This window comes from Homo sapiens, chromosome 9, assembly GCF_000001405.40.
Source record: "Homo sapiens chromosome 9, GRCh38.p14 Primary Assembly".
Lineage (NCBI taxonomy): Eukaryota > Metazoa > Chordata > Mammalia > Primates > Hominidae > Homo > Homo sapiens.
Genome location: NC_000009.12, coordinates 72,853,007 through 72,877,581, shown reverse-complemented (window position 1 = coordinate 72,877,581; position 24,575 = coordinate 72,853,007). Strand labels below are relative to the sequence as shown.

The 24,575-nt window shown below is 37.6% G+C and overlaps 2 long non-coding RNA genes across 4 annotated transcripts, besides 2 other annotated features; both read left to right on the top strand.

The window, feature by feature from the left end:
• The first annotated feature begins 3,472 nt into the window (after nucleotides 1–3,472).
• On the top strand, nucleotides 3,473–5,854 carry LINC01474 (long intergenic non-protein coding RNA 1474). Of its 3 annotated transcripts, none has more exons than NR_121181.1 (4): nucleotides 3,473–3,514; nucleotides 4,427–4,555; nucleotides 5,351–5,473; nucleotides 5,566–5,854. It is a non-coding gene; the product is annotated as a long intergenic non-protein coding RNA 1474 (long non-coding RNA). The 3 variants fall into 3 exon arrangements; NR_121180.1 differs by having other exon boundaries at nucleotides 3,473–3,566; NR_121120.1 differs by having other exon boundaries at nucleotides 3,473–3,566; nucleotides 5,562–5,854.
• Nucleotides 5,855–12,731: 6,877 nt separating this feature from the next.
• LOC124902181 (uncharacterized) lies at nucleotides 12,732–20,130 on the top strand. Its single transcript, XR_007061578.1, has 2 exons — nucleotides 12,732–14,357; nucleotides 14,946–20,130. It is a non-coding gene; the product is annotated as an uncharacterized LOC124902181 (long non-coding RNA).
• Nucleotides 14,095–15,294: an enhancer, noted in NCBI's record as "BRD4-independent group 4 enhancer chr9:75477204-75478403 (GRCh37/hg19 assembly coordinates)". NCBI's record gives its function as "activates an origin of replication core promoter dependent on BRD2, P300/CBP, MED14 and CDK7 cofactors, and independent of BRD4, by STARR-seq in HCT116 cells {active_cell/tissue: HCT116}" and the evidence as "EXISTENCE:reporter gene assay evidence [ECO:0000049][PMID:35650434]".
• Nucleotides 18,347–19,546: an enhancer, noted in NCBI's record as "MED14-independent group 3 enhancer chr9:75472952-75474151 (GRCh37/hg19 assembly coordinates)". NCBI's record gives its function as "activates an origin of replication core promoter dependent on BRD2, BRD4, P300/CBP and CDK7 cofactors, and independent of MED14, by STARR-seq in HCT116 cells {active_cell/tissue: HCT116}" and the evidence as "EXISTENCE:reporter gene assay evidence [ECO:0000049][PMID:35650434]".
• Nucleotides 20,131–24,575: the final 4,445 nt, after the last annotated feature.

Sequence of the window (24,575 nt, the reverse complement as noted above, 5' to 3'; positions counted from 1 at the left end):
GGCTTCATAGAATGAGTTAGGGAGGGTTCCTTCTTTCTCTATCTTGTGAAATAGGGGACACACAATTTAATCCACAACAGATGGGTAAACTGACTATTGTAGTTCTGTAATTATAACACAAAGCAGTAAGTTCTATGAAAGAGGGCAGTACAAACCATGGAGGAGGGGTGCCTAACGCAGACTTATCCCACAGGGTTAGGATTATGAGAGGGGCCTGAATTCTGCTAAGATGTTTGTGTCATTAAATGATAACCAGCCATTGTTCTGGAGGTCACAAGATTTATAACTTCCCCAGTGACTCCTGTAGATAACATCACTATTGTAGAACCAGAGATTCACTTTTTGAGGTGTCTTTTCAGACTTTTTCATTTCTGAGGACTGGCTAACTCCACCCAAACCCACAACTCATGACTTAACCAGTCCTGTGGCCCAGAGGCTGACTCAGTGAACATTTTCCACACCCCTAAGGTTGCATCCCCAACCAATAATCATTCCCCATTCCCTATCCCCCTGTCCATCAAACTATCCTTGAAAAGTCCTAGCTTCTGAGCCTTTGGGGAGATTGATTTGAGTAATAACTCCATCTCCTATAAGGCCGGCCTCATATCTATTACACTCTTTCTTTACTGCAATACCACTGAAATTGAACCAATTCAATTCTCAGTGAATTGATTTTGTCTGTGCAGTACACAGGAAGAACCCATCAGATGATTGCAGAAGAAAGAAAAATAAAAATTAAGAAGGGTATGATTTGGGGGAACTTCTTCCAGTGGGGCCTGTAATGATAGTATACAACTCTCTGGACACAAAGGTGAACTCCAGTCTCTTGCTTGGAGAAGAACAATTGCCCATCCTTCTTACTCAATGTTTTTCCTAGGTTTGGACACAGAATTCATTCCAGCATAGAGTCCATCCTAAGGCATGATTCAGTGAGCCAATAAAGTTTGCATCTGTGTCTCTGACCCTCACACACACCAAAAGATCCTGACTAATTCTCCTCCCTCCCCACCTGCACAGACACACTCAAATAGGAAATATTCTCTTATTTTATATATTTTAATTTTATGTAATATACATTATTATACATATATAATATGTATAATGTATAAGTATATTATATACTTATATATTATAAAAATATAGTTTACATTTGTAATATATATTTATTTTGTATAATATATATTTTATATTTATACATATATATATATATTTTTTGAGACAGAGCCCACACTGTTGCCTGGGCTAGAGTGTAGTGGCACGATCTCAGCTCACTGCAACCTCTGCCTCCCAGATTCAAGAGATTCTCCTGCCTCAGTTTCCCGAGCAGCTGGGATTACAGATGCCCGCCACCACACCCAGCTAATTTTTTGTTTTTTTAGTAGAGACAGGGTTTCCCCATGTTGGCCAGGCTGGTCTCAAACTCCTGACCTCATGATTTGCCCGCCTTGGCCTCCTAAAGTGATGGGATTACAGGCGTGAGCCACCGCACCCGGCCTGTATTCATATATATATATATATGGAAGTACAGGCTCCAAAGCCCCCATACTATTTCCTGTTTCCTCTCCCTTGCACTGGTACATGTTTGATATATACAACTTTTCAATATTTTGGCAGCTTCACCTGTGATTTTTTTTTAATAAAAAAAGAAGGGGCAGGAGGTGACAGTAATCATCACAATTTATTTTTTCTTGTCACATGAAAAGAAACAAATCTTTGTGAAATAATTTAATACTTTGAAGGGTGACCCAGAAACACAAGTAATGGCTATCAATGCCTCTTCCAGCCAGTGAAGCTACAAGAACAAGGGAGTCCAATGCTTCTTTTGAAGAAAGCTTTAAATTCATGGCACTATTTTGGAATATGAGAAAAATATTTTAAAATGCATTTCTTGGCCTCTCTTGTTTTGTTTTGTTTCCTTCCTGCTGCTCTTGGGGAGTATTAATAAAAGAGATGGGATAAGTGAAAAACACAAGACAGAGAACTATTTATTTTTTTTCAGTTTTTTTGCCACTGAAATGAAAAGATTATAATAATAATAGTCACCATTTATTAAACTCTGCTAAGCACATCATGGCCTGATTCAATCCTTTTAGCATCATACAAGGAAGTTATTATCTCCCCTTTACAGAGAAGGCTGTGGCTGGGGAGGTAGGGGTTGAGAACTTGCCTGAAGTCATAGCACATCCTAGCTGCTAGGAACTATTTTCTGAGCTAGGCTCTTCACACTGACCATCTTATAAAGTCTCTCACAGCATCCCTGGAATAAATGCATTATTGTCAACATTTTTATAACTTACAAAAGGCTAAGTGGTAAATTGAGGGTAGAATTCAAACTGAGGTCTTTCCAACTCCAAAACATGTGCTGTGATGACCGTGCCATAAACTTTCTCGTACCTTGTCAGAACAAATGTACTGAAACTACCATAGTTTCAGAACTGTAATAATCGATGCATAGTCCCCATTGGTAGATTTAGTGTTTTACAATAGAGTTTCTGAAAAGCAGTTTTAAAATACCCTTCAGCAAGCATTTACTGAGGCCTCGTCTAGGCCAGGACTTGGGCTGGACATTGCAGGCATGGCCACAGTAACGATGACTCAGAACTTGCCCCCAAGGAGTTCACAGTCTGGGAGCATTGGGGAGAGGAGCAGAAAGTAAACTAGAGAGCACAAAACACAAAGTCACACTCTTGTATAACATACACTCAGTAAAAAGGAGGCCCACTAGAGCAGGGTTTCTCAACCTGGCACTATTGCATTTGGGGCTGTCTGAGTCTTGCTGTGGGGGCTGCCTGTGCATTGTGGGGTATTAGCAGCATCTCTGAATTCTACTCAGTAGATACCAGTAGCCCCCCCACAACCAAAAATGTCTCTGGACATTGCCAAATGTCTCCTGAGGTTGGGGGAGTGAGAATCACTGCCCCACAGTTACATCCTGGCAGAGTTAAGCAATGAAACAAAATCACTGGCCATTAATAATACTATATGATTTTCAATTAAGAGCTTATTTACACACCAAGTACCTTAGAAACCTGATCTCATCCCATCCTCATCAAAACCTTATGGTGTGTACAAGCTGGAATGATGCCTATTTTATAGGTTAGGGCACTGAGGCACAAAGAGTTTAGTGGATGCCTAGCTGCACAGTAGTGACCGATAGAGCAGGCATTTGAAGCCTGCCCTGCCATCTTAGTCAGTGCACCGAGATATGAAGAGCATTTTTAAAGTGTGCTAGGCTCTTTCATTTTCATTACATGTCCACTGATATGGTTTGACTCTGTGTCCCCACCGAAATCTCATGTCGAAATGCAATCCCCACATGTTGGAGGAGGGACCTGGTGGGAAGTGATTGGATCATGGAGGTGGATTTCCCTCCTACTGTTCTCGTGATAGTGAGTGAGTTCTCATGAGATCCAATGGTTTAAAAGTGTGTGGCACTTCCTCCCTTCACTCTCTCTCTCTCTCCGGCCACCATGTGAAGATATGCGTGCTTCCCCTTCACCCTTCTGCCATGATTGTAAGTTTCCTGAGGCTTCCCCAGCCATGCCTCCTGTACAGCCTGTGGAACTGTGAGTCAAACCCCTTTTCTTCACAAATTACCCAGTCTCAGGTAGTTCTTTATATCAGTGTGAGAACAGACTAATACATCCACAGGCTGACCTAATCTAAAATTAGCAACACAAAGGAATGAATATTTATAATTGTATACAGTGTTATCCTTTGTGAATATTCTATCTTATCCATTCTGGACCTAATTAATCTAGTTTATTTTGGATGATTTGCTTATGGGAGTCTTGCTTTAACCAGGGAAAATATTTATTAATTCTGAAGAATGTAGTAAGTTTCATATCTTGATTTATATTTTGGCAGTTCAACCATGCACTGTGTGGGGGCCAAAAAAATCCCTAAAAATAATCATATGATATTGGCTAAGACCAAATGCAGCCAGTTATTTCTGTTGGTATGTCTTAATGAGGGAAAAAGGCAGAGCTGGATGCCTCTTCTTTCTTAAATTAAAAACAAAACAAAATAAACAAGCAAAAAAAACTTCAAGAGACTTCAAAGGTCAGTAGAAAGTTTTCGTTTAAATTGCCAATTGTACAATTTGAGGAATGCAAGTAAACTGCCCTCAAATAACTTTTCTAGGTATTTTTCAAAAAATTCTAAAGGGAATATTTGCTTTCTAGGCAAGGTTTTTAAATATTTCATTATCTAGGCTTAGATAGCTTGGATAGAATAGTTATTATTTTATATTCAATCTTTTACTTTAGCAGACTATTAGGATATGCTTGTTGTGACTCAGTTTTTTGTATCTACCATCTGTTGGTTTATTACCCAAATCTATAAGTAAACATCAACATAGGAAGCTTTACTGTCACTGAAGCTTTATTAAATAAATGAGTTTAATTGTGGATTGTTATCTGTGAAGTCAGGACCTGGGAGAGAAAAAAGCTACCAGCAACATTCAGACTGAGAGAGGCCAAAATACTAATTCATAATTAGCCTGGTACATATGAAGGATCAAAAAGAACAGGACTGTATGTCTGACCTCTGACAGGTATGTATCAGTGTACACAGCCACGCCAGATGATGTCAGGTGGTGTGCTGTGGTCTCAATGACTTGGTTTGAAGGAAGAATCACTTGTAGGTTGGACACTGTTTATATGCCTGGCTCAAGTTTGCCCTTGTAACCATTTAAGCGGAAACAAAGGAGAGCCAGATCTGCTAGTTAGTGTAATAAACCTCCCACAAGAAGAAGGGAGACTGGCCAACTTAAAATGCAAGGCAAGTTATTTTCATGCACTTGTAAATTACATTATGAATAAGTGTTGGGAAACATTGGGCTGATAAAAAATTTACAATTGATATCTTCAATTACTACATGAAGCAAATATGAAGTAAAGAACCAACCTGAATGTAATCACACTATAGATATTTCACATATTTCCACAACTGTTTCCACTAATTCTGACAGAATGTCCCCCATTCACCACAAATATGTTTGCCCTATATTAAAATAATAAGCTATTTAAATAACAAGCCTTGTGTTCCTGTATGCATAGAAAATGGTTCAATTCTTTCTGGCTCAAATCCTTTATAAGCAATCAAACATCCTACCCCATTGTCAATCTGGCCATCTCCTACTCATCTTTTTAGGTTTATACTTAAATGTCACTTTGATAATGGTTTATTCCCTAACCTCTTAATTGTAATTAAGTCCCCATATACATTCCCTCTTCAAATTTGCACATTTTATTCCAAGCATTTATAGCAATTTATAATTTTATGTGTGTGCTTATTTCTTTAATGCCTGTCTTCTCATTTAATATCTTTTCTACCCCTGTATATCCAGGCCCTACCACCATAGTAGAGACTCAGTATGTATACTTAATGAAGGAATAATGAATACATCAGCAAGAGAAATAAGAGTGACCATATGTTCCTTAAGAGAAGCAAAGAGCAGCTCCTGTTCCTGGTAAGCTCTGGCTGTATTTTGTTCCTTTTCCAAAAAAGTCTGTGATATTCCTTGTTGTGTATTTATAATAACATTCTTTTTTCTTGAGCCAGCTGGAATGAGTCTCCATTCCTTGCAACAGAAGTGTCCTAAGTTATAGCCAGAGGACGGGGGCACATTGACAAAACATAAAGCGGATATGATAATAACAAGGTACCATTCCAGCAAGAACATCTGAAGAAAGAAGCAGTGTTGTTTATCTTTCCTTCATCTATTCTGAAACTAAAATCCTTAACCAAATTTATTTCCGAAGTTTAACCCTTTAATAAACTGGCCTCTGACTCCACCTGGTGGAGATACATAAATCTATGAAAATAAACCAATCCAAATGAAGATTTTAAAGTCATCAGCTCTCTTTCATGTCTCAAAGAAAAAACACATATCCCGAAATTCAAATAGATGACCTTCTCGGATGTGTTATAGGCACTCAGAAGCCCCAAAGAAAAAATAGTTTGAGTTGATCATTTGACTGTTGCTCTCAGCCTTCATTTCTGCCTTTCTAGGTTGTGTCAGGCATTTTGACTGTCCAGGGGCCCTGCATATTCTATTTTCCTAGTTACTTGCTAAGGTTTGAATATTTGTCCCCCTCCAAAACTCATGTTGAAATTTAATCCCAAATGTGGCAGTATTGAGAGGTGGGGCTTTTCAGAGGTGATTGGGTCATGAGAGCTCTGTTCTCATGAGTGGATTAATCCATTCATGGATTAATGGAATAATGGACTAATGGATTAATGAGTTATCATAGGAGTGGGACTGGTGCCTTTATAATAAGAGGAAGAGAGACCTGAGCTAGCACACTCACCCTCTTCACCATGTGAGGTCCTGTGCCACCATGGGACTCTGCAGAGTCTCATCAGCAAGAAGCCACTTACCAGATGTGGCCCCTTGACCTTGGGCTTCTCAGCTTCCATAACTGTAAGAAATAAATTTCTTTGTAACTTGCCCAGTTTCAAGTATTCTGTTATAAGGAACTGAAAATGGACTAAGATACTTTCCTATTGGCTTCTGGTTAGTTTCTATCAATAAGAATTACTGGTAGAAGTTTGAAAGGTAGGAGTGGAGAGATGGGACCTTTTTTATTTTAGTTTCTATTGGCATTTTCCAGCAGCAAGGAACAATGGGCATTTCATCATCATCTTTTAGCATTTCCAGCACCCACAGCAAGGAGTCCTTTCACCTGCTTAGTAGCAGCCCTTCAGTAATCCTAGCATCTATTTTAGGTGGTGTTTCATTTGTGGTCTCAGGACTGGCCCAGGTAGTTCTCTTCTCCATGATTCTGGACTCTGGTGATTCCATCACCTCCACGTACGCCTTCAGCCAGAAGGACTGTCGCTGTTCCCAGCAGCCATTTAGCATAGTTACCTAAGTGTAACCAAATTCCTGTATTATATTCACTTGTTTGAAAAACCTTGAGTGATTTCTGACCCACTTCTGTCTCAAGGCCTGAATATTCTGATTCAGATGAATTTCAGAAAATGGAAAAAAAAACTTAGTGAATAAAAAAGATTAAATAGTTTTTAGAAAACCATAGGAGACAAAAAAGCAACTGGAAGTCACACACACACACACACACACACACACATTCTTTTAACTTTATAAGTTATAATAAATTATGGTAAAAGAGTGACAAGTTTACCTACATGAATATTGAAGCCTTTGTAAAATCTTTAAAGAAAAAAGGGTACCAATACAACAGAAAATTTCAGACTGGAAAAATATTGGTAGTCATCGTCTTAGTTTGAGCATTTATCAATTGCATTATAGCAAAACCCTCCAAACTGCTCTCTCTGCTTTGATTGTCTCTTTTTTTTCCAAATCTTTTCTGCATATTGTCAAAGTTACATTTCTAAGGAGCAAATTAAATGCTGTCACTATGCTCTTTGAATTATCAGTCAACAAAGAGATTTTTTAAACTAATTAATTTATAATTATCCACAGAAATACATATTAAAAGGACAGTGAGGTGTCTGCTAACTCTTTACTCTCTTGGATGCAGCTTAATTTCTTCTTCCAGGGACACTTTTCTGACAATTTTGTTCTTATACAATTATAGCATTTTTTTTTCTTTTTTTGAGACAGGGTTTCACTCTGTCACACAGGCTGGAGTGCAGTGGCATGATCTTGGCTCACTGCAACCTCCGCTTCCTGGGTTCAAGCAATTCTCATGCCTCAGCCTCCAAAGTAGCTGGGATTACAGGCATGCACCTTCACATTCAGCTCATTTTTTTTTTTCTGTATTTTTAGTAGAGACAGGGTTTCACCATGTTGGCCAGGCTGGTATTGAACTTCTGACCTCAAATGATCCGCCCACCTCGGCCTCCCAAAGTGCTGGTATTACAGGCGTGAGCCACTGCGCCTGGCCAGTTATAGCAATTTTAAAAACAATATTCTAATCATGTCCTTTGCAGCAACACGGATGAAGCTGAAGGCCATTATCCTAAGTGAGTTAACACAGGAATAGAAAACCAAATACCGCATATTCTCACTTATAAGTGGGAGCTAAACAGTAAGTACATATGGACATAGAGGTGGGAAGAGTAAACACTGGGGACTACTAGAAAGAGGAGAGAGGGTGGGGGTTAGAGCTGAAAAACTACCTATTTGGTACTATGCTCACTACCTGGATGATGGGATCTTTTGAATCCCTAAATCTCACTGTCACACAATATATGCAGGTAACAAAGCTACACATTTACCCCTTGAATCTAAAATAAAAGTTGAAATTATAAAATAAAAACTTTTTTAAAAATGAAGGAAATTATGGCAAATCCTTTAGAAATAAAACAATATTCTAAATAAACAAAATAGAGAATAAAAAATAGAGAAAATTAATGAAAACAAAAATGGATTCATTGAAAATATTTTTAAATGACAAATCTTTAACTAGATTGATAAAAGGAGAGAAAAGTCTCAAATAACTAAAATCAGAAGTGTGACATTACTACCTATTTACATAAATAAAAGGATTATAAGAGCGGAACAATTGTACTCCAGCAAATTGAATAACATAGACAAAATGGACACATTTCTAGAAACACAGAATCTGCCAAGACCGAATCAGTAAGAAATATAAATTTTGAATAGAATTGTAACTAGTAACTGAATCAGTAGTCAAAAAACCCCAAGATGAAAGCCCAGAACTTGATGGCTTCACTGGTGAATTCTATCAGACATTTAAAGAAAAATTAACACCAATCCTCCTCAAACTCTTTCAAAAAAAATTAAGAGGAAGAAACATTTTTAAATCATTCTGTAAAGGCAACATTACCCAATACCAAAATCAGACAAAAACACTACAAGAAAAAAAAAAAGCAGACCAGTATCACTGATGAATATTGATGCAAAAATCTTGAACAAAATACTAGCAAACTAACTCCAACAGCATGTTAAATGCATCATATACCATGCCAAGTGGAATTTATTAATGAAATGCAAGGATGGGTCAACGTATAAAAATCAATTAATGCAAGACACCACATTAACAGAATGAATGAGAAAAAAAACATGATTTTCTTAATTGGTGCAGAAAAAGCGCTTGACAAAATTAAATTTCTTTTCATTATAAAAGTACTAAACAAATTAGGAATAAAAGGAAACTACCTCAACATAATAAAGGCCATATATGAAAAATCCACAGCTAACATCATACTCAATGATAACAAACTGAAAGTCTTTCTCTATGCTCAGGAACAAGGCAAAAATGCCTCCTGCTTTTGACACAGTAGTAGAAGTTCTAGCCAAAGCAATCTGGGGAGAGAAAAGAAAAAAACGAAAGGAAAGGAAAAGGAAAAGGGAAAGGAAAAGGAAAGAGGAAGGGGAAGAGTATGGGGAAGGGGAAGGGGGGAGAAAGGATTAGTCCGTTCTCACAGTGCTATGAAGAACTACCTGAGACTGGGTAATTTACAAAAAAAAAAAAAAAAAATGTTTAACTCACAGTTCCACAGGCTGTACAGGAAGCAAGGTTGGGAGGCCTCAGAAAGCTTACAATCATGGCAGAAGGCTGAAGGGGAAGGAAGACCTTCACATGGTAGAGCAGGAGAGAGCATGAAGGGGGAAGTGCTACACATTTTTCTTTTTTTTTGAGACAGAGTCTTGCCCTATTGCCCAGGCTGGAGTGCAGTGGCAAGATCTCGGCTCACTGCAAGCTCCGCCTCCTGGGTTCAAGCCATTCTCCTGCCTCAGCCTCCAGAGTAGCTAGGACTACAGGCCCCGCCACCTCGTCCAGCTAATTTTTTGTATTTTTAGTAGAGACGGGGTTTCACCATGTTAGCCTGGATGGTCTCAATCTCCTGACCTCGTGATCTGCCCACTTCGGCCTCCCAAAGTGCTGGGATTACAGGCGTGAGCCACCACGCCCGGCCGCTACACACTTTTAAACAACTATATCTCATGATAAATCACTTAATATATCATAAGAACAGCAAGGGGAAAATCCACCCCCATGATCCAATCACCTCCCACCAGGCCTCTCCTCCAACACTGAGAATCATAATTCAATAAGAGATTTGGGTGGGGACACAGAGCCAACTTATATCAAAGGAAGAGGAAGAAATAAAAGGCATCAAAATTGGAAAGGAAGAAGTGAAATTATCTCTGTTCAGACTACTTGATCTTGTATGTAGAAAACCTGAAGATTCCACCAAAAAAAACCCCATTAGAATTAATTAATAAATTCAGCAAAGTTGCAGCATGCAAAATCAACATGCAAATATCAGCTGTATTTCTATACACTAGCAATTAATAATCCAAAAAGAAAATTAAGAAAACAATTCCATTTACCATAGCATCAAAAAGAATAAAATAGTTAGAAACTAATTTAGTCAAGGAGGGAAAAAATATGCCCTGAAAACTACACAATATTGCCAAAAGAAACTAAATAAGGAGCAAATAAGTAGAAATATGTCCCATGTTCATGGATCAGAACACTTAATATTGTTAAGATATTAATACTACCAAAATCAATTTACAGATTTAATGCAATCCCTATCAAAATCCCAATGACGATTTTTGCAGAAATAGAAGAATCAATCCTAAAACTTATATGGGATCTAAAGGGACCCCAGAAAAGCCAAAACAGTCCTGAAAAAGAAGAACAAACTTGAAGATCCTTTTTTATTTTAAAACTTACTACAAAGCTACAGTAACCAAAACTGTATAGTACTGGCATAAAGAAAGACATACAGAGCAGTGGAATAGAATAGAGAGTCAAGACATAAACCATCACACATATGGTCAAATGAATTTCAACAAGGGTGCCAAGACCATTCAGTGAGAAAAAGATGGGCTTTTTAAACAAAATACTTTTGGGAAGATGGTTATTCACATGCAAATGAATGGATTTGGATCCTCATCTTCTACCATATACAAAAGTTAACTCAGAATGGACTAGTTAACAGCAATGTATTGTGTATTTCAAAATAGCTAATAGACAGGACTTGAAATGTTCTCAATACATAGAAATGATAAATACTTGTGGTGATGGATACCCTAAATACCTGGACTTGATCATTACACAATCTATGCAGGTAATAAAATATCACAGGTAACACATAAATACGTATACATATTACATATCAATACAAAATGGACCAAAAACCTAAATGTAAGAGCCAAAATGATAAAACTTTTAGAAAGAAATATAGGGAAATCTCATCTAAGATTACATTAATCTTGGTTAATCTAAGATTAGATTTGACAATGATTTATTGGGTATCACATCAAAAGCTCAGATAACAAAAAAAAATAAGTTGGACAACGTCAACATTAAAAACTACTGTGCATCAAGAGACACTACTAACAGAATGAAAATTTTCTCCCACAAAATGGGAGAAAATATCACAAACCATATATCTGATAAGCATATAATACTCAGAATATACAAAGAACTCCTACACTCAACCACAAACAAAAGAACAACCTGATTAATAGTCAAAGCACTTGAATAGATATTTCTCCAAAAAAAGAGATAAAAATTTCTGAAAAGCATATGATTAATAATGTTCAACATTACTAATCATTAGAGAAATGAAAATCAAACCCACAATGAGAAACCACTTCTCACCCATTAGTATAGCTACTATTTAAAAAGACAAAAATGAAATAGAAAATAATGGTCTGTGGAGATACAGAGAAATTTCCACCATGTGTGCTGCTTTGGAAATGTAAAATGGTGCAGTCACTAGGGAAAAACTGTATGGTGATTCTTCAAAAATTAAACATAAAAGTACCATATGATCTAGCAACTCCACTCCTGGGTATATACCCAAAAGAACTGAAAGCAGAGACTGTAGTATACATTTGTATACTCATTTTCGTAGCAGCATTATTCGCAATAGCCAAAATGTGAAAGCAATCTGTGATCTGTGTCCCTTCATGGATGAGTAGATAAACAAACAAACAAACAAATATATATATAATATTATTTAGCCTTGAAAAGGAAAGACATTCTGACACATCCTACAAAATGGTTGAACCTTGAAGACACTTGAAAATAGTTAAAATGGTAAATTTTTTTATGTATATTTTACCACAATAAAAATTTTTCTTGAAAGGATCAGTGAAGTGATCAACTTATTACTGTAACTTTTTATATTATTGCTAATAAGTTTCTATGTAAAATTTTTCTGCCACTGGAATAAGAAAAGATAAATATATTTTTCAGTGATGTAATTTACAGAAATGCTTATAAATTCTGGAAAGTAATACTTGATGAGTATGTAACTTGCATACATCTCTCATTGTTAGCTTGTCTTTTAACTTTGTTCTAAATATCTTCTGATATCAGAAATCTTTAAATGTAGTCAGTTTTATCAATATTTGTTCTTGTATTTTTCTTAAGAAATATTTTCTTGCTTATTACCATCAGCGTATTTTTTTTATTTTTCCTTCCTTCCTTCCTTCCTTCCTTCCTTCCTTCCTTCCTTCCTTCTTTCTTTCCTTCCTTCCTTCCTTCCTTCTTTCTTTCTTTCTTTCCTTCTTTCTTTCTTTCCTTCTTTCTTTCTTTTTCTTTGAAACAGGGTCTTGCTCTGTCACCCAGGCTGGAGTACAGTGGTGCAATCTCTGCTCATTGCAACCACCTTCCAGATTCAAGCAATTCTTCTGCCTCAGCCTCCCAAGTAGCTGGGATTAAAGGCGTGCACTGCCATGCCTGGCTAATTTTTGTATTTTTAGTATAGACAGGGTTTTTCCATGTTGCCCAGGCTGGTCTCGAACTCCCAGGCTCAAGCAATTCTCCCACCTTGGCCTCCCTAAGTGCTGGGATTACAGGCAAGAGCCACCAGAAAATCTTTGAAAACAGCTATGACCTGCTAAGCCCTCTGCTTCAAGACATCTCACCTCTTTAGTCTGAACCAATGTACATCTTCCATGTGTTGATTTATGATTTTACCTAAAATTCCTGCCTCTCTAAAAATGTGTAAAACCAAAATGTAGCCTGACTGCCTCAGGCAAACTTTCTCAGGACTTCTAGAGACTGTTCCCCAGGGCCATGGTTACTCATAATTGGCTCAGTATAAACCTCTTTATATATTTTACAGGGTTTGGTTTTTCCATTAACAAATTCCAGTGTGAATATACTAAAGTCAAGGACTTCTGGTGTCCCCTCCCCTTTCTCATGGGGAAGTTAATTTATAGCTGCTGTAAACCAAGACTAATGGAAACTGCTATTGGGGGTGGAGGAGGGGCGTGGAGGGAGATTCTTCTTTCTCACTAATTCTGTTCCTTTTCCTGCAAAGCCTTCATTGCACAAATACAAACATAATAACAAAGAAGTAAGTATCATAAGAGCATTAGGATTGAAGCTTAAGTTGAATATTCTAACAATTACCTGTTAATTGGAGGAGTCCAGATCAGGAGGGAGGCAGGTATAAGCAGTTAACAGATTTGAAGTAAGATTTGCTCATCATAGGACATTTGTCTCTAATCATACAGACTGTCATTTCAATAGCACAGTATAATGAAATGTAGCATTTAATCAGAAAGCACTGATTAATATATTAAAGCCATTATTGCAATAAGAATGGTTCATTTATATACAGATTAAAAAAATGAAAAACCAAACCATTTCTTATCAAATTACTTACCCCCCTGGCACGGACTAAAGAAACAGCTCAATATAACACCGTTTATCTCTAAAGCAGGTGAGAATCCTGCGGCTCCTTCTTCTCAACACTGTATTGATAAAGGGCTTCTTCTTATCTCGTTATTGCAGTAATGGAGTTTTAAAATGGAAATGCTAAACTTTCATTTCAAGATAGCAGAAAGGACATGATTTTTTCCTCTCATACCAAAACCCTAACAATAACAGAAAACATATTTTAAGAGATATTCAGCCATGCTGAAAGATTAAAAAGGAGAACTTAGATAAGAAACTGTGAGAAATACTGGAAACACAAGAGGCCAACAGATTGGATTTATGAGGAAACTCATAGCTCAAGATAAGTGTGAGAAAGTTCCAGCAGAGAAGGTGGGAGCAGCCACAAGGGTTTTCTACATGAGTATTTCAATGTGAAAATTCTTGCCTGGTCTTTCTTGGGAAATTTATGTTTTTCAGGATCTTAAGAAAAATCAAGAAACCAAGTTGAGAAACTAAGAAAAAAAGAAAAACTGTTTACTTCTCCCATAATTATTAAAGACTAACAATCAACGTGGAGGCATTACTGGTTAGAAGGAGTTCACTGATGTCTAGTTGAAAGCAAGACATTTGGTGGCTGGAGGTTAAGGCCAACATTTCCAGGAACCTAAACAAGACATAGAGGAGAAAAGCAAGAACCATCTCATCAGTCAGTCTTGCTATAACTGTTGTCTTGTTATGAACAGTTGCTCATGGCCCTGTCTGCTGCTACTGGTAAGTTGTTTTTGCAAATAAATACTAACAAGTTCATTTGTATAGTGTACTTTAAACAAATCCTATGACTGATGTGCCCAGAAATAACAAGTTTTGGAAAGCAAAATAAGTCCTTTAATTAACAACTTCAAACGGTGATTCTGTGCAGTATTGTTAACCTTGCTAGCCAATTCTACTATTTTGATCAATCGATAGATAGATAGATAGATGGATAGGTAGATAGATAGATAGATAGATAGATAGATAGATAGATAGATAGATAGATAGATATTTCCCCCCAGGCTAAAGTGCAGTGGTGCGATCTCGGCTCACTGGAACCTCCATTTCCCAGGTTCAAGCGATTCTCCTGCCTCAGCCTCCTGAGTAGCTGGGATTACAGGCGCCCACCACCACGTCTGGCTAATTTTTTTGTATTTTTAGTAGAGACAGGGTTTCACCATGTTGGCCAGGGTGATCTCAAACTCCTGACCTCAAGTGCTCTGCCCACCTCAGCCTCCCAAAGTGCTGGGATTACAGGCATGAGCCACCATACAGGGTGGAATTACAATATTTGAATATTACCCAGGAATATTTTCTGGTGTTTTTCAGGTCTGATTATTTGCTGTAGGTTACGGTTCTTTGCAAATACGTGAAGAGAGGAAATGAAAGAAGAAGAAGATGTGAATATTATCGAAGTGGTCTCCCTTGGGAAATCAAAAAACTGTTCTAAAATCTGAATTAGTAAAAGCAATATTGATTTCAATAGAAAAAAACTAAAATTATTAAAAAAGGAAATGAGCTTATATGAAGCTACATGTATCCTAATGCCTGGCTTGAATATAGTTTTGGATGCATTCTTAATAAATGAGAAAACATCAATGTGAAATAAAAGCAGCAGTTTTTGTCACAAAACAAAGATCGAGACTGTTGGATAAGATGGCTAGTGCTTTGTGTTTTAAAATTCAGTAGAAAATTCAGAAATAAAGCCAAATACTTACAGCCAGCTAATCTTTGACAAAGCATACAAGAACATAAATTGGGGAAAGGATACCCTATTCAACAAATGGTGCTGGAAAAGCTGGCAAGCCACATGTAGAAGAATGAAACTAGATCCTCATCTCTCACCTTATACAAAAATCAACTCAAGATGGATCAAAGACGTAAATCTAAGAGCTGAAACTATAAGAAATTCTAAAAGATAACATTGTTTTTTCCCTTTTTTCTTCTTCTGTTTTTTTTTTTCTTTTTCTTTTTCTTTTTTTTGGAAAGGGAGTTTGCGCTGTCGCCCCAAGCTGGAGTGCAATGGAGCGAACAAGGATCACTGCAACCTCTACCTCCTGCGTTCAAGCGATTCTCCTGCCTCAGCCTCCTGATTAGCTGGGATTACAGGCGTCTGCCACCACGCCCAGCTAATTTTTGTACTTTTAGTAGAGATGGGGTTTGACCATGTTGGCCAGGCTAGTTTTGTACTCCTGACCTCAAGTGCTGGGATTATAGGCATGCGCCACAACGCCCAGCCTTGAAAAGATAACATTGGAAAAACTCTTCTGGACATTGGCTTAGGCAAATTCATGACAAAGACCCCAAAAGCAAATGCAACAAAGACAAAAATAAATAAATTGAATAAATTAGAGCTAATTAAACTGAAAAGCTTCTGCAGAGCAAAAGAAATAATCAGCACATTAAAGAGAAAACCCACAGAGTGGAAGAAAATATTCACAAAGTATGCATCTGACAAAGGACTAGTATCCAGAATCTACAAGAAACTCAAACAAATCAGCAAGAAAATGACAATTCCATCAAAAAGTGGGCAAAAGACATGAACAGCCATTTTTCAAAAGAAGATATACAAACAGCCAACAAATGAATGAGAAATGTTCAACATCAGTGAAATACAAATTAAAACCACGATGAGATACCACGTAACTCCTGCAAGAATGGCTATAATTCAAAAGTTAAAACCATAGATGTTGGTGTGGATGTGATGAAAAGGGAACACTTACACACTGCTGGTGTGAATGTAAATTAGTACAACCTCTATGAAAAACAGTATGGTGATTCCTTAAAGAACTGAAAGTAGATCTACCATTTGATCCAGCAATCCCACTACTGGGTATCTACCCAAAGGAAAAGAAGTCATTACATGAAAAAGACACATGTACACGCATGTTTATAGCAGCACAATTCACAGTTGCAAAGATATGGAACCGGCCTAAATGCCCATCAACCAATGAGTGGATAAAGAAAATGTGTATATATACAACATGGAATACTACTAGGCCATAAAAAAGAACGAAATAATTTCTTTTGCAGCAACTTGGATGGAGCTGGAGGCCATTATTCTAAATGAGGTAACCCAGGAATAAAAAACCAAATGCCGCATGTTCTCACTTATCAGTGGGAGCTAAGCTGTGAGGACACAAACACATACAAAGTGATATAATGGACTTTGATGACTGCAGGGTGGGGAGCTGGGAGTGGGGTGAGGGATAAAAGATTACATATTGAGTGGGTACAGTGTACACTGCTTTAGTGACAGGTGCACTAAAATCTCAGAATTCACCACTAAAGAACTCATCCATGTAACCAAAAACCACCTGTACCCCCAAAACTATTAAAATTTTTAAAAATAAAAAAGTTAACTTCTAAACATTAAATATACATAATATAAAGTTTACATTTTAAAATTATTTTTATTCAGCAATTGTTTTGTTTTAACACCCCTTCTTTCAATGTTTTCTACTATAAAATGTCAATGTCAGTTAAAGATCATTTTAACATATCATTTTAAAACATATCATTTTGTCCCAATATATTGATTTATAATAATAATTTTAAATCAACTTTCTGTAAAATCTTATAGTAGAAAAATGATTCATAGTTTAATATTATGGTCACTTGTTACTAATTAAAAATATGTAAATATGTATTCTTAAAAATAGAGAATAATACCATTTCAGGAATTCTGATTATTTGTTCTGAAATTTCAAAGATTACTATCTGCTGGGAATTTGGAAACCCTATAATAATCTAAACCCAGCGACAGTGAAAACCAGGAGGCAGATGGAGCCCAAAGGAAGAGATGGAAGGGTCACTCTTGTGTGGCACCTTCCTATCCTGGCCAGGCGGCAGTGCCTGGGGTAGTCGAAGGGAGCAGCAGTGAGGATGAGACCTTCAATTAGAGAAAGGACAAGAAGAGAACGTGGGAAGACCCACACTCGGGCCCACTTTGGTTAATCCTCCTTAGTTTCCTTGTAAACTATTAAGGCAGTTAAATTTTCAACTGCTTGAATTTACCTATTTCAAAGATTCAGCTTTTCACTTGACTTTGATTGGTCACCAAGAAAATATAAGTATTATAGCCATGTTATTTTCAAAGAGGAAAGCATGCCAGTCACTAGAACAGTGAGTGGTATGTAGCAGGCACTCAGAAAACATGTGTGATATGGGTTGATCTGAGTCCCTGCCCAAATTTCTTGTCGAATTGTAATCCCCAATGTTGGAGGTGGGTCTGGTGGAAGGTGGTTGGATCATGGGGACAGATTTCTGCCTTTGGTGCTGTTCTCATGGTAGAGTTTTCATGAGAACTGATTGTTTAAAAGTGTGTAGCACCTCCCTCTCTCTCTCTGGCATCTGCCCTGGCCATGTAATATGTGCCAGCTTCCCCTTCACCTTTCACTGTTATTGTATGTTTCCTGAGGCCTCCCCGGAAATGGAGCAGATGCCAGAACCATGCCTCTTGTACAGCCTGCAGATCCATGAACCAATTAAACCTCTTTTCTTTATAAATTACCCAGTGTCAGGTATTTCTTTATAGCAATGCAAGAAGGACTAATACAATGTGTTAAACTAATTACTGGATAATGCAATTCACAGAGGAACAGAGAATCCTTTTACTTGGGACTGGCCAGTTTCCTGTAAGTCAAAATTATGCAAATCCAATCAAATTTTCCATAAAGAAAATATTGTGATTGAATTTTAGATTCTTTATCATAACCTTGAAATCCATACAACCTCTGTAAAATTTTAAAAGATTGTGTCTTTTTTTAGCTTCAATGAATTGGAGAGTGAAGCATCTGCTTTAATGGGAAATTTCAAATTTCTTCAGCAATATCGTGAGAATAATCTCAGCAGAAGTCAATAGGAGACTCAGAAGCATAAGAATACCTCCTAGAATTTAAATATAAGAAAAACAAATTGAAGTTAATAGTCTTATTTTCTCATTGTAAAGTTGCCTGCTCATCTTACTGTGTATAAAATTGGGATCCAGTTATTCAAAATCAGTGTGTTTTGTGTGTATTACTCAGCAGAGTATTTACCAGGTTTACAAGTGTAGATCACACATCTAAGTCAAGGCCTGCCTTATCACTTCTGGTCACCAACTAATCCTTAAACTTTTTTTATTCTAAAAATAATTGGGAGTAAAACATCAACAAGTTAGCTGGACAACGTGTTTAAAGCTTTAAAACCTGCCTTGAAAACTGTGATAGATCAGTTTGAATGCCAGGACTGTCGATTCAAAGTGCCAAATGTCTGCTATAATAATTCCTAGCACATAGGGAGTTCTATGAGCCAGACTCTGCATCTCAAGCTCTTCAGAGATTTTAACTCAACCACTTTTCACAAAACCTTGTTTTTTGTGGAAGAAGTGCAATTACCTTCCATATTTTACAGGGGAGGACACTAAGTATCAGGGACATGCATTTTTTCCAGGCCCCATGGCTAACACATGGCAAAGCTAGGTCAACTTGGACGTTGGCCTTCAGAGTCATTGAACCATAACCCCTCCCCTCCTGCCTGGACAGCCCCAGAGCCGGCACTGCTGAGTCACAGTGACAAGACTTACCCTCTGGCCTTGAACAGCTCAAACTCTAATGGAGTAAATAGATAAATAAGCCACTGTGATGATAATAATAATAATAAAAAGTTAAAAATGGCAAGATAAGACCATGAAGCATGTGGTGTAACAATTCAGGGAGATGCCATAGCTTAGCAGATAAGAGCACAGACTCAGGACTGAGATGAGTCTCACTCCAGTGCCAGCTGCAGAGGCTCAGCTGCATCAGTCTCTCTGCTCTTCAGGGGTCTTAGCTGTAAAACAAGAATGCTCTTCGTGGGAACTCAGAGAATGGGCATGTCAGGTATTCAGAGCAGTCCTGTAGCCCAGAAAGCCTAAGTCAGTACTATCATGATCATGGAAGAGTAGATTATTGAAGCTGACTTAGAAGAACTGGAAAGACTTCTTGAAGGGCTTTAGATTTCAGCTGAGCCTTGAAACAAGAGTTGTTATTTTAAAACAGAAACAAAAAGGAAAAACTCCAATAGTCTGGATGCAGCCAACAAAGCACCTTCCAGACAACAGAAGCAGCTGGGAAATGAAACAACAAACAAACAAGGCAAAGCCACATCTCAGAACAGGGCATGTTGTATGGACTCATGTACTTGGAAAGTGAGGTTCAGGGAAATTCCAAGTGAATGGCAGGAAATAAAGCTGGAAACCTAAGGAAGGACTAGGCCCTAAGGCAGAGAGAGATTCTTTAAGTACCTCAGCCCATAGGGACAAATCATCGGTTTTCCTTTTACCTAAACGGAAACATGTTTCTTGTCTTAGAGAATTATGTTTTCTTTTCGGTTTATTTTCTATTTTAAATTTAAAATTTGAATTGTAAGCCTATAGGATCCCAAGAGTTCCAAACTCTATATTTTTCTTACTCCTTTAACTCTGCCTTCAGCATATGTCATGGTAAAATGTAAATTAACCTAAATCTATACAATAAAAATAAAATAAAAATTAGACGGGTAGGCTGTTATGTTTTCAGGGTGTGCGGTGTTTGTTTGCTGTTTGTTTTTACAGCTAATAATTCTGAACAAAACCAAAGCACATAAGCAATCTCAGCAGGAGATAAACTAAGCTGTCATAGAATCATAGTTTCAGTTATTGCATTAATCAGCATTAACTTCATGTAAAACTCGACAAAAAAGAAAAACGTTTGAGCTCCACCTTGTGGTAGCATATCTGAGCCAAGCTCATGTCTCAGGTTCTTTGTGCAGGAAAAGCATGTCTTAGTGAGCCCGCAAAAAAACCCTGCATTATTTAAAGAAGAAGAAGACTAGGAAAGCTTTGAAAAATTGTTCCAGAATGTGCAAATAAGGGCTGCTTATTTATAGGGTTTCTAATATTAGAAATATCACAGTGTACACTGATGGCCCTGGGACAGCATCCTGCCAACAGATGGTGTGTGTGTGTGTGTGTGTGTGTGTGTGTATGTGCGCGCGCGCGTATTAATTTGTGCTAATTACTAACATTTAAATATTATAGTATGTGACATAAAAATCAAGGTTTCCAGCTTCTCTTTAGACACCAGAAGATCTGGGAGCCCTGCGTCTGCAATAATTAGCTAGAACTGAGCATTGGATGCCCCCTAAAGATAGTGAATGTTGTCTACATTTTATTGGCTATAAACCGACAGAGGAGGCAACACAGAAGTGGCAACGTGCATATCTGTCAATACTTCTCCATCTTCACTGTACCCCATAACCTCACCCAGACGACCTAGGCAAGACACCATGAGCACACTGCCTGCTGTTTGAAACAACACAGAAAACCTGGTGTGTCATTGCTCTCAAACAACTTTTATTTTTAAAGACCTTTATGTTGCTTTGCTAAAAAAGTAAAATAAAAACTTTCCTTGATCTCACTGGCCTTATCAACATTAAGATCCCAAATGTTATCGCACCCACATTTTGAGTCCTAGACATTGGTACTATGCAAAATCTCATCTGATTATGTCTGAGAGTCCATAGTTTATGAATTGATCTATTCAGGCTGTCTCACTGTGTGGCCTGCTCTGTTCTCTTATTTCACTCCTTCAAGCCAATACCTGAGAAGTGCCTGCTGTGCCTGTCATGAGTTTAGCAGACTCCTTTGAAGTGGGCTATCACCAGTGCTCCCCAAACAGACAGCTGATGGTAGTATCACAGTGTTTTTCTACCCCATTCGCAGGTGGACTTGCAGGGCTTTATTTCCCGAGAACCAAAAGTGCGCTACATGTACTCCACCGTCTCAGAATCCCCACTCCATGAACAGCTCCACTGGATTCTGGCTGCAGTCTCTATCTGTCCCCACTGTACTCTAATCTCATCCATTCCCCTTCCCTTCTCCTACTTCCTCAAAGGCTACATCTCTGCATAGCCATGCAAATCAACTGCTGCAGTCAGATGGAGGGGGAGCCACCAACACTATCTACTTATCAGAAATTTCCCAGAAGATCTGAATTCTAGATCTGGGTATGATTTAATTGGAACTCTCACTAAAACTTATTTCATAAACTCAGAGAATTCTTAGAACAACACTGCCCAATAGAGATGAAATGCACACGACAAATGCAAGCCACATGGCATCTTAACTTTCCTAGTGACCACATTAAAAAAGAAACAGGTCAATTAGTATTAGTAATATATTTTACTTAGCCAAATATATTCAAAATAGTATTTTTTTAACATGTAAGCACAATGAAAAGATATTAATGATACATTTTACATTAGCTTTTTCCTATGGAGTCTTCCAAATCCAGCGTATATTTTACATCTCCATTTCCAGCCATGTTGCATGTGCTCAATAGTCACATATGGCTAGTGGCTGCCATATTGGACAGCTCAGGTTTACAGCACAGGAAGAAATTTTAGAATCATGTTATGCAACCTCCTTGTCTTACAAATAATTGAGACTTGGAGAGGTTACATAATTTCCAACAGGTCAAACAACTAATCAGTAGCAGAGACAGGCCTGAAACACTGGGCCATTAATGCTCAATCACATGCATTTCTATTCATTTAATCCTGCTTATCTTAAATTTGTGAAGCCAGTCTACTATTAAGACATTACCATCTAGAAACAACTAAGAATGTACCAAAATAATCCAAAGAGTTGTTTTTATTGGATATATAAATGATTAGGTTTTTCCAGTTGGGGGAAACCTTCTTTAAAAATAATTAAAATAATTTTTCATTAATAACTTTCTGAATTAGATCAATTAAAGTAATTCTTTTTTTTTTTTTTTTTTTTTTTTGGAGACAGAGTCTTGTTTTGTCACCCAGGCTGGAGTGTAGTGGTATAGTGGCACGATCTGAGCTCACTGCAACCTTCGTCTCCCGGGTTCAAGCAATTCTTCTGCCTCAGCCCCCCAAGTAGCTGGGACTATAGGCACCCACCACCATGCCTGGCTACTTTTTTTTGGTAGTTTTAGTAGAGATGAGGTTTCACCATGTTGGCCAGGCTGGTCTTGAACTCCTGACCTCAGATGATCCGCCCGCCTTGGCCTCCCAAAATGCTGGGATTACATGTGTGAGCCACGGCGCCTGGCCAGATCAATTAAAATAATTCTAAATGTTTAACTACAGTGTGACTAAATTTTTTTAAATAAAAATATTTGATTGACAGAAAAGTGGAATTGTGGGTAATGTGTATCTAGCCTTTAAATACGTGCTAAATGCACTGCTCAGTGGTTTTCAGCATCATCTCATGTAATCCCTTCAGAAACTGCAGTGGAGATGATTATAGTCCATTTTAAAGATGAGGTCAATGAAGCTTGGTGAGTGCAATTAGCCCATGTCAAAAGGATAATAGTTGTAATACAAACATCACATGGCTAGCAAGTGACACTTGCAGTCAGGAACAGAACCCATACTCGTACCTTGGCTGTGACTCTCAAGCCAATGCTCCTTCCCCCACCACTTAGCCACCACAATTACCTTGTAGTCTATTAAGCTGAGGTATATGGAGCATTTTCTGTGACGCAAATGCAATAGGCTGAGTATTTTCACTCAGTATTATCTGTTATTCCACTAGCGACAAACATCGCCCATGGAATCAACTCATTGCATATTTTGTCAAGACCAGTTGTAATTCCAGCCCATGGTTCCTTTTGCAGTAGGCTCATTTGTCATCTGCTGAGGGGCTATTCCATGGTCATTTATGCAATATTGAATTCCACTACAAATGTATTTATTAATTCCACGGCCACCTTGCCCTTCAGACCTGTTACTCTATTTTTCAGGGTTATCCTCACACCATGCACAGCAATGTGACATCACATCAAATTTTTCTTCATGAATGTTATACAGTTTGACCGCCTTAACACATAGATTTATTCCTAAAAATTTGTACCAAATTAATTTTCCCCATTTACTTCTGCCATTAAATCTGACCTATATCAATACTGGAAAAAAGGTTTGATTCCAAAAGAAAAAAAAAAGATTTAGGATTTTAGCATTCAGTTCAATGACACTGTTGACTCACAGTTCTTATGCATTTAGCCCATGTATATAATTACTGCAAGATACTAACCATGGCTATAGAACCCTACACTCTAATTATGAAAATATAATCATTACAAATTGCTAATTCCATGGCTGGATTACATAATAGAATAAGTAAGCAGTTGTTTAGAGAATCAGCAAAGCAGTTTTTTTTTTTTTTCCGGAAAGAAACATCTGACTTCAGTATGCATGTATGTTTAGTGTTGTTAGGCTTTTAAAAAAAAATAGAAATGGGGTCTTGCTTTATTGACCACACTGGTCTCAAACTCCTGGCCTCAAGTGATCTTCACACCTTGGCCTCCCAAAGAGCTGGGATTAGAGGCATGAGCCACTGCACCCAGCTTGCTAATATACTTTGTTTTAAATTAGATGTTGGAGAGTACCATGATATTTGCAGTGTTCAGTCCTGTAAAAGTCATGATCAGGCTTTGCCTGATTCTCATTTCAATGGTATTTTCAAGTGCTTCACAGAGTTTATATGTATGACCAAGCAGAGAAATTAATTACATCACAATGCAAATATTTAGAACTCCATAAAAACAAGGATGACAACTTTAACTATTATTGAGCACTATGTGCCAGGCATAGTGCTATGTACTTTGCATGCATTATCTCATTTAATCCCAAATGAAAACTTTATGAGGTAGGACTGTTATTATCCCCATGTTTAGAGGCAAGAAACACAAGATTTTGAAAGGTTGAGTAATTTTCTTAAAGTCACATGTCAGTTTTTGCCTGCTTTAAATGATCATGAACATTCCCATTTTGGAGGACGTGTGATTGGCTAATATATAAACCAAAAAATCCAAGCATACAAAAAATCCAGGCATACTCAATACAAGAAAGAGGAAACAAATAACAAAATGAATAATATTCTGGCAACTTCTAAGCTGCAATATTGAAGAAAACAATAGATAACTT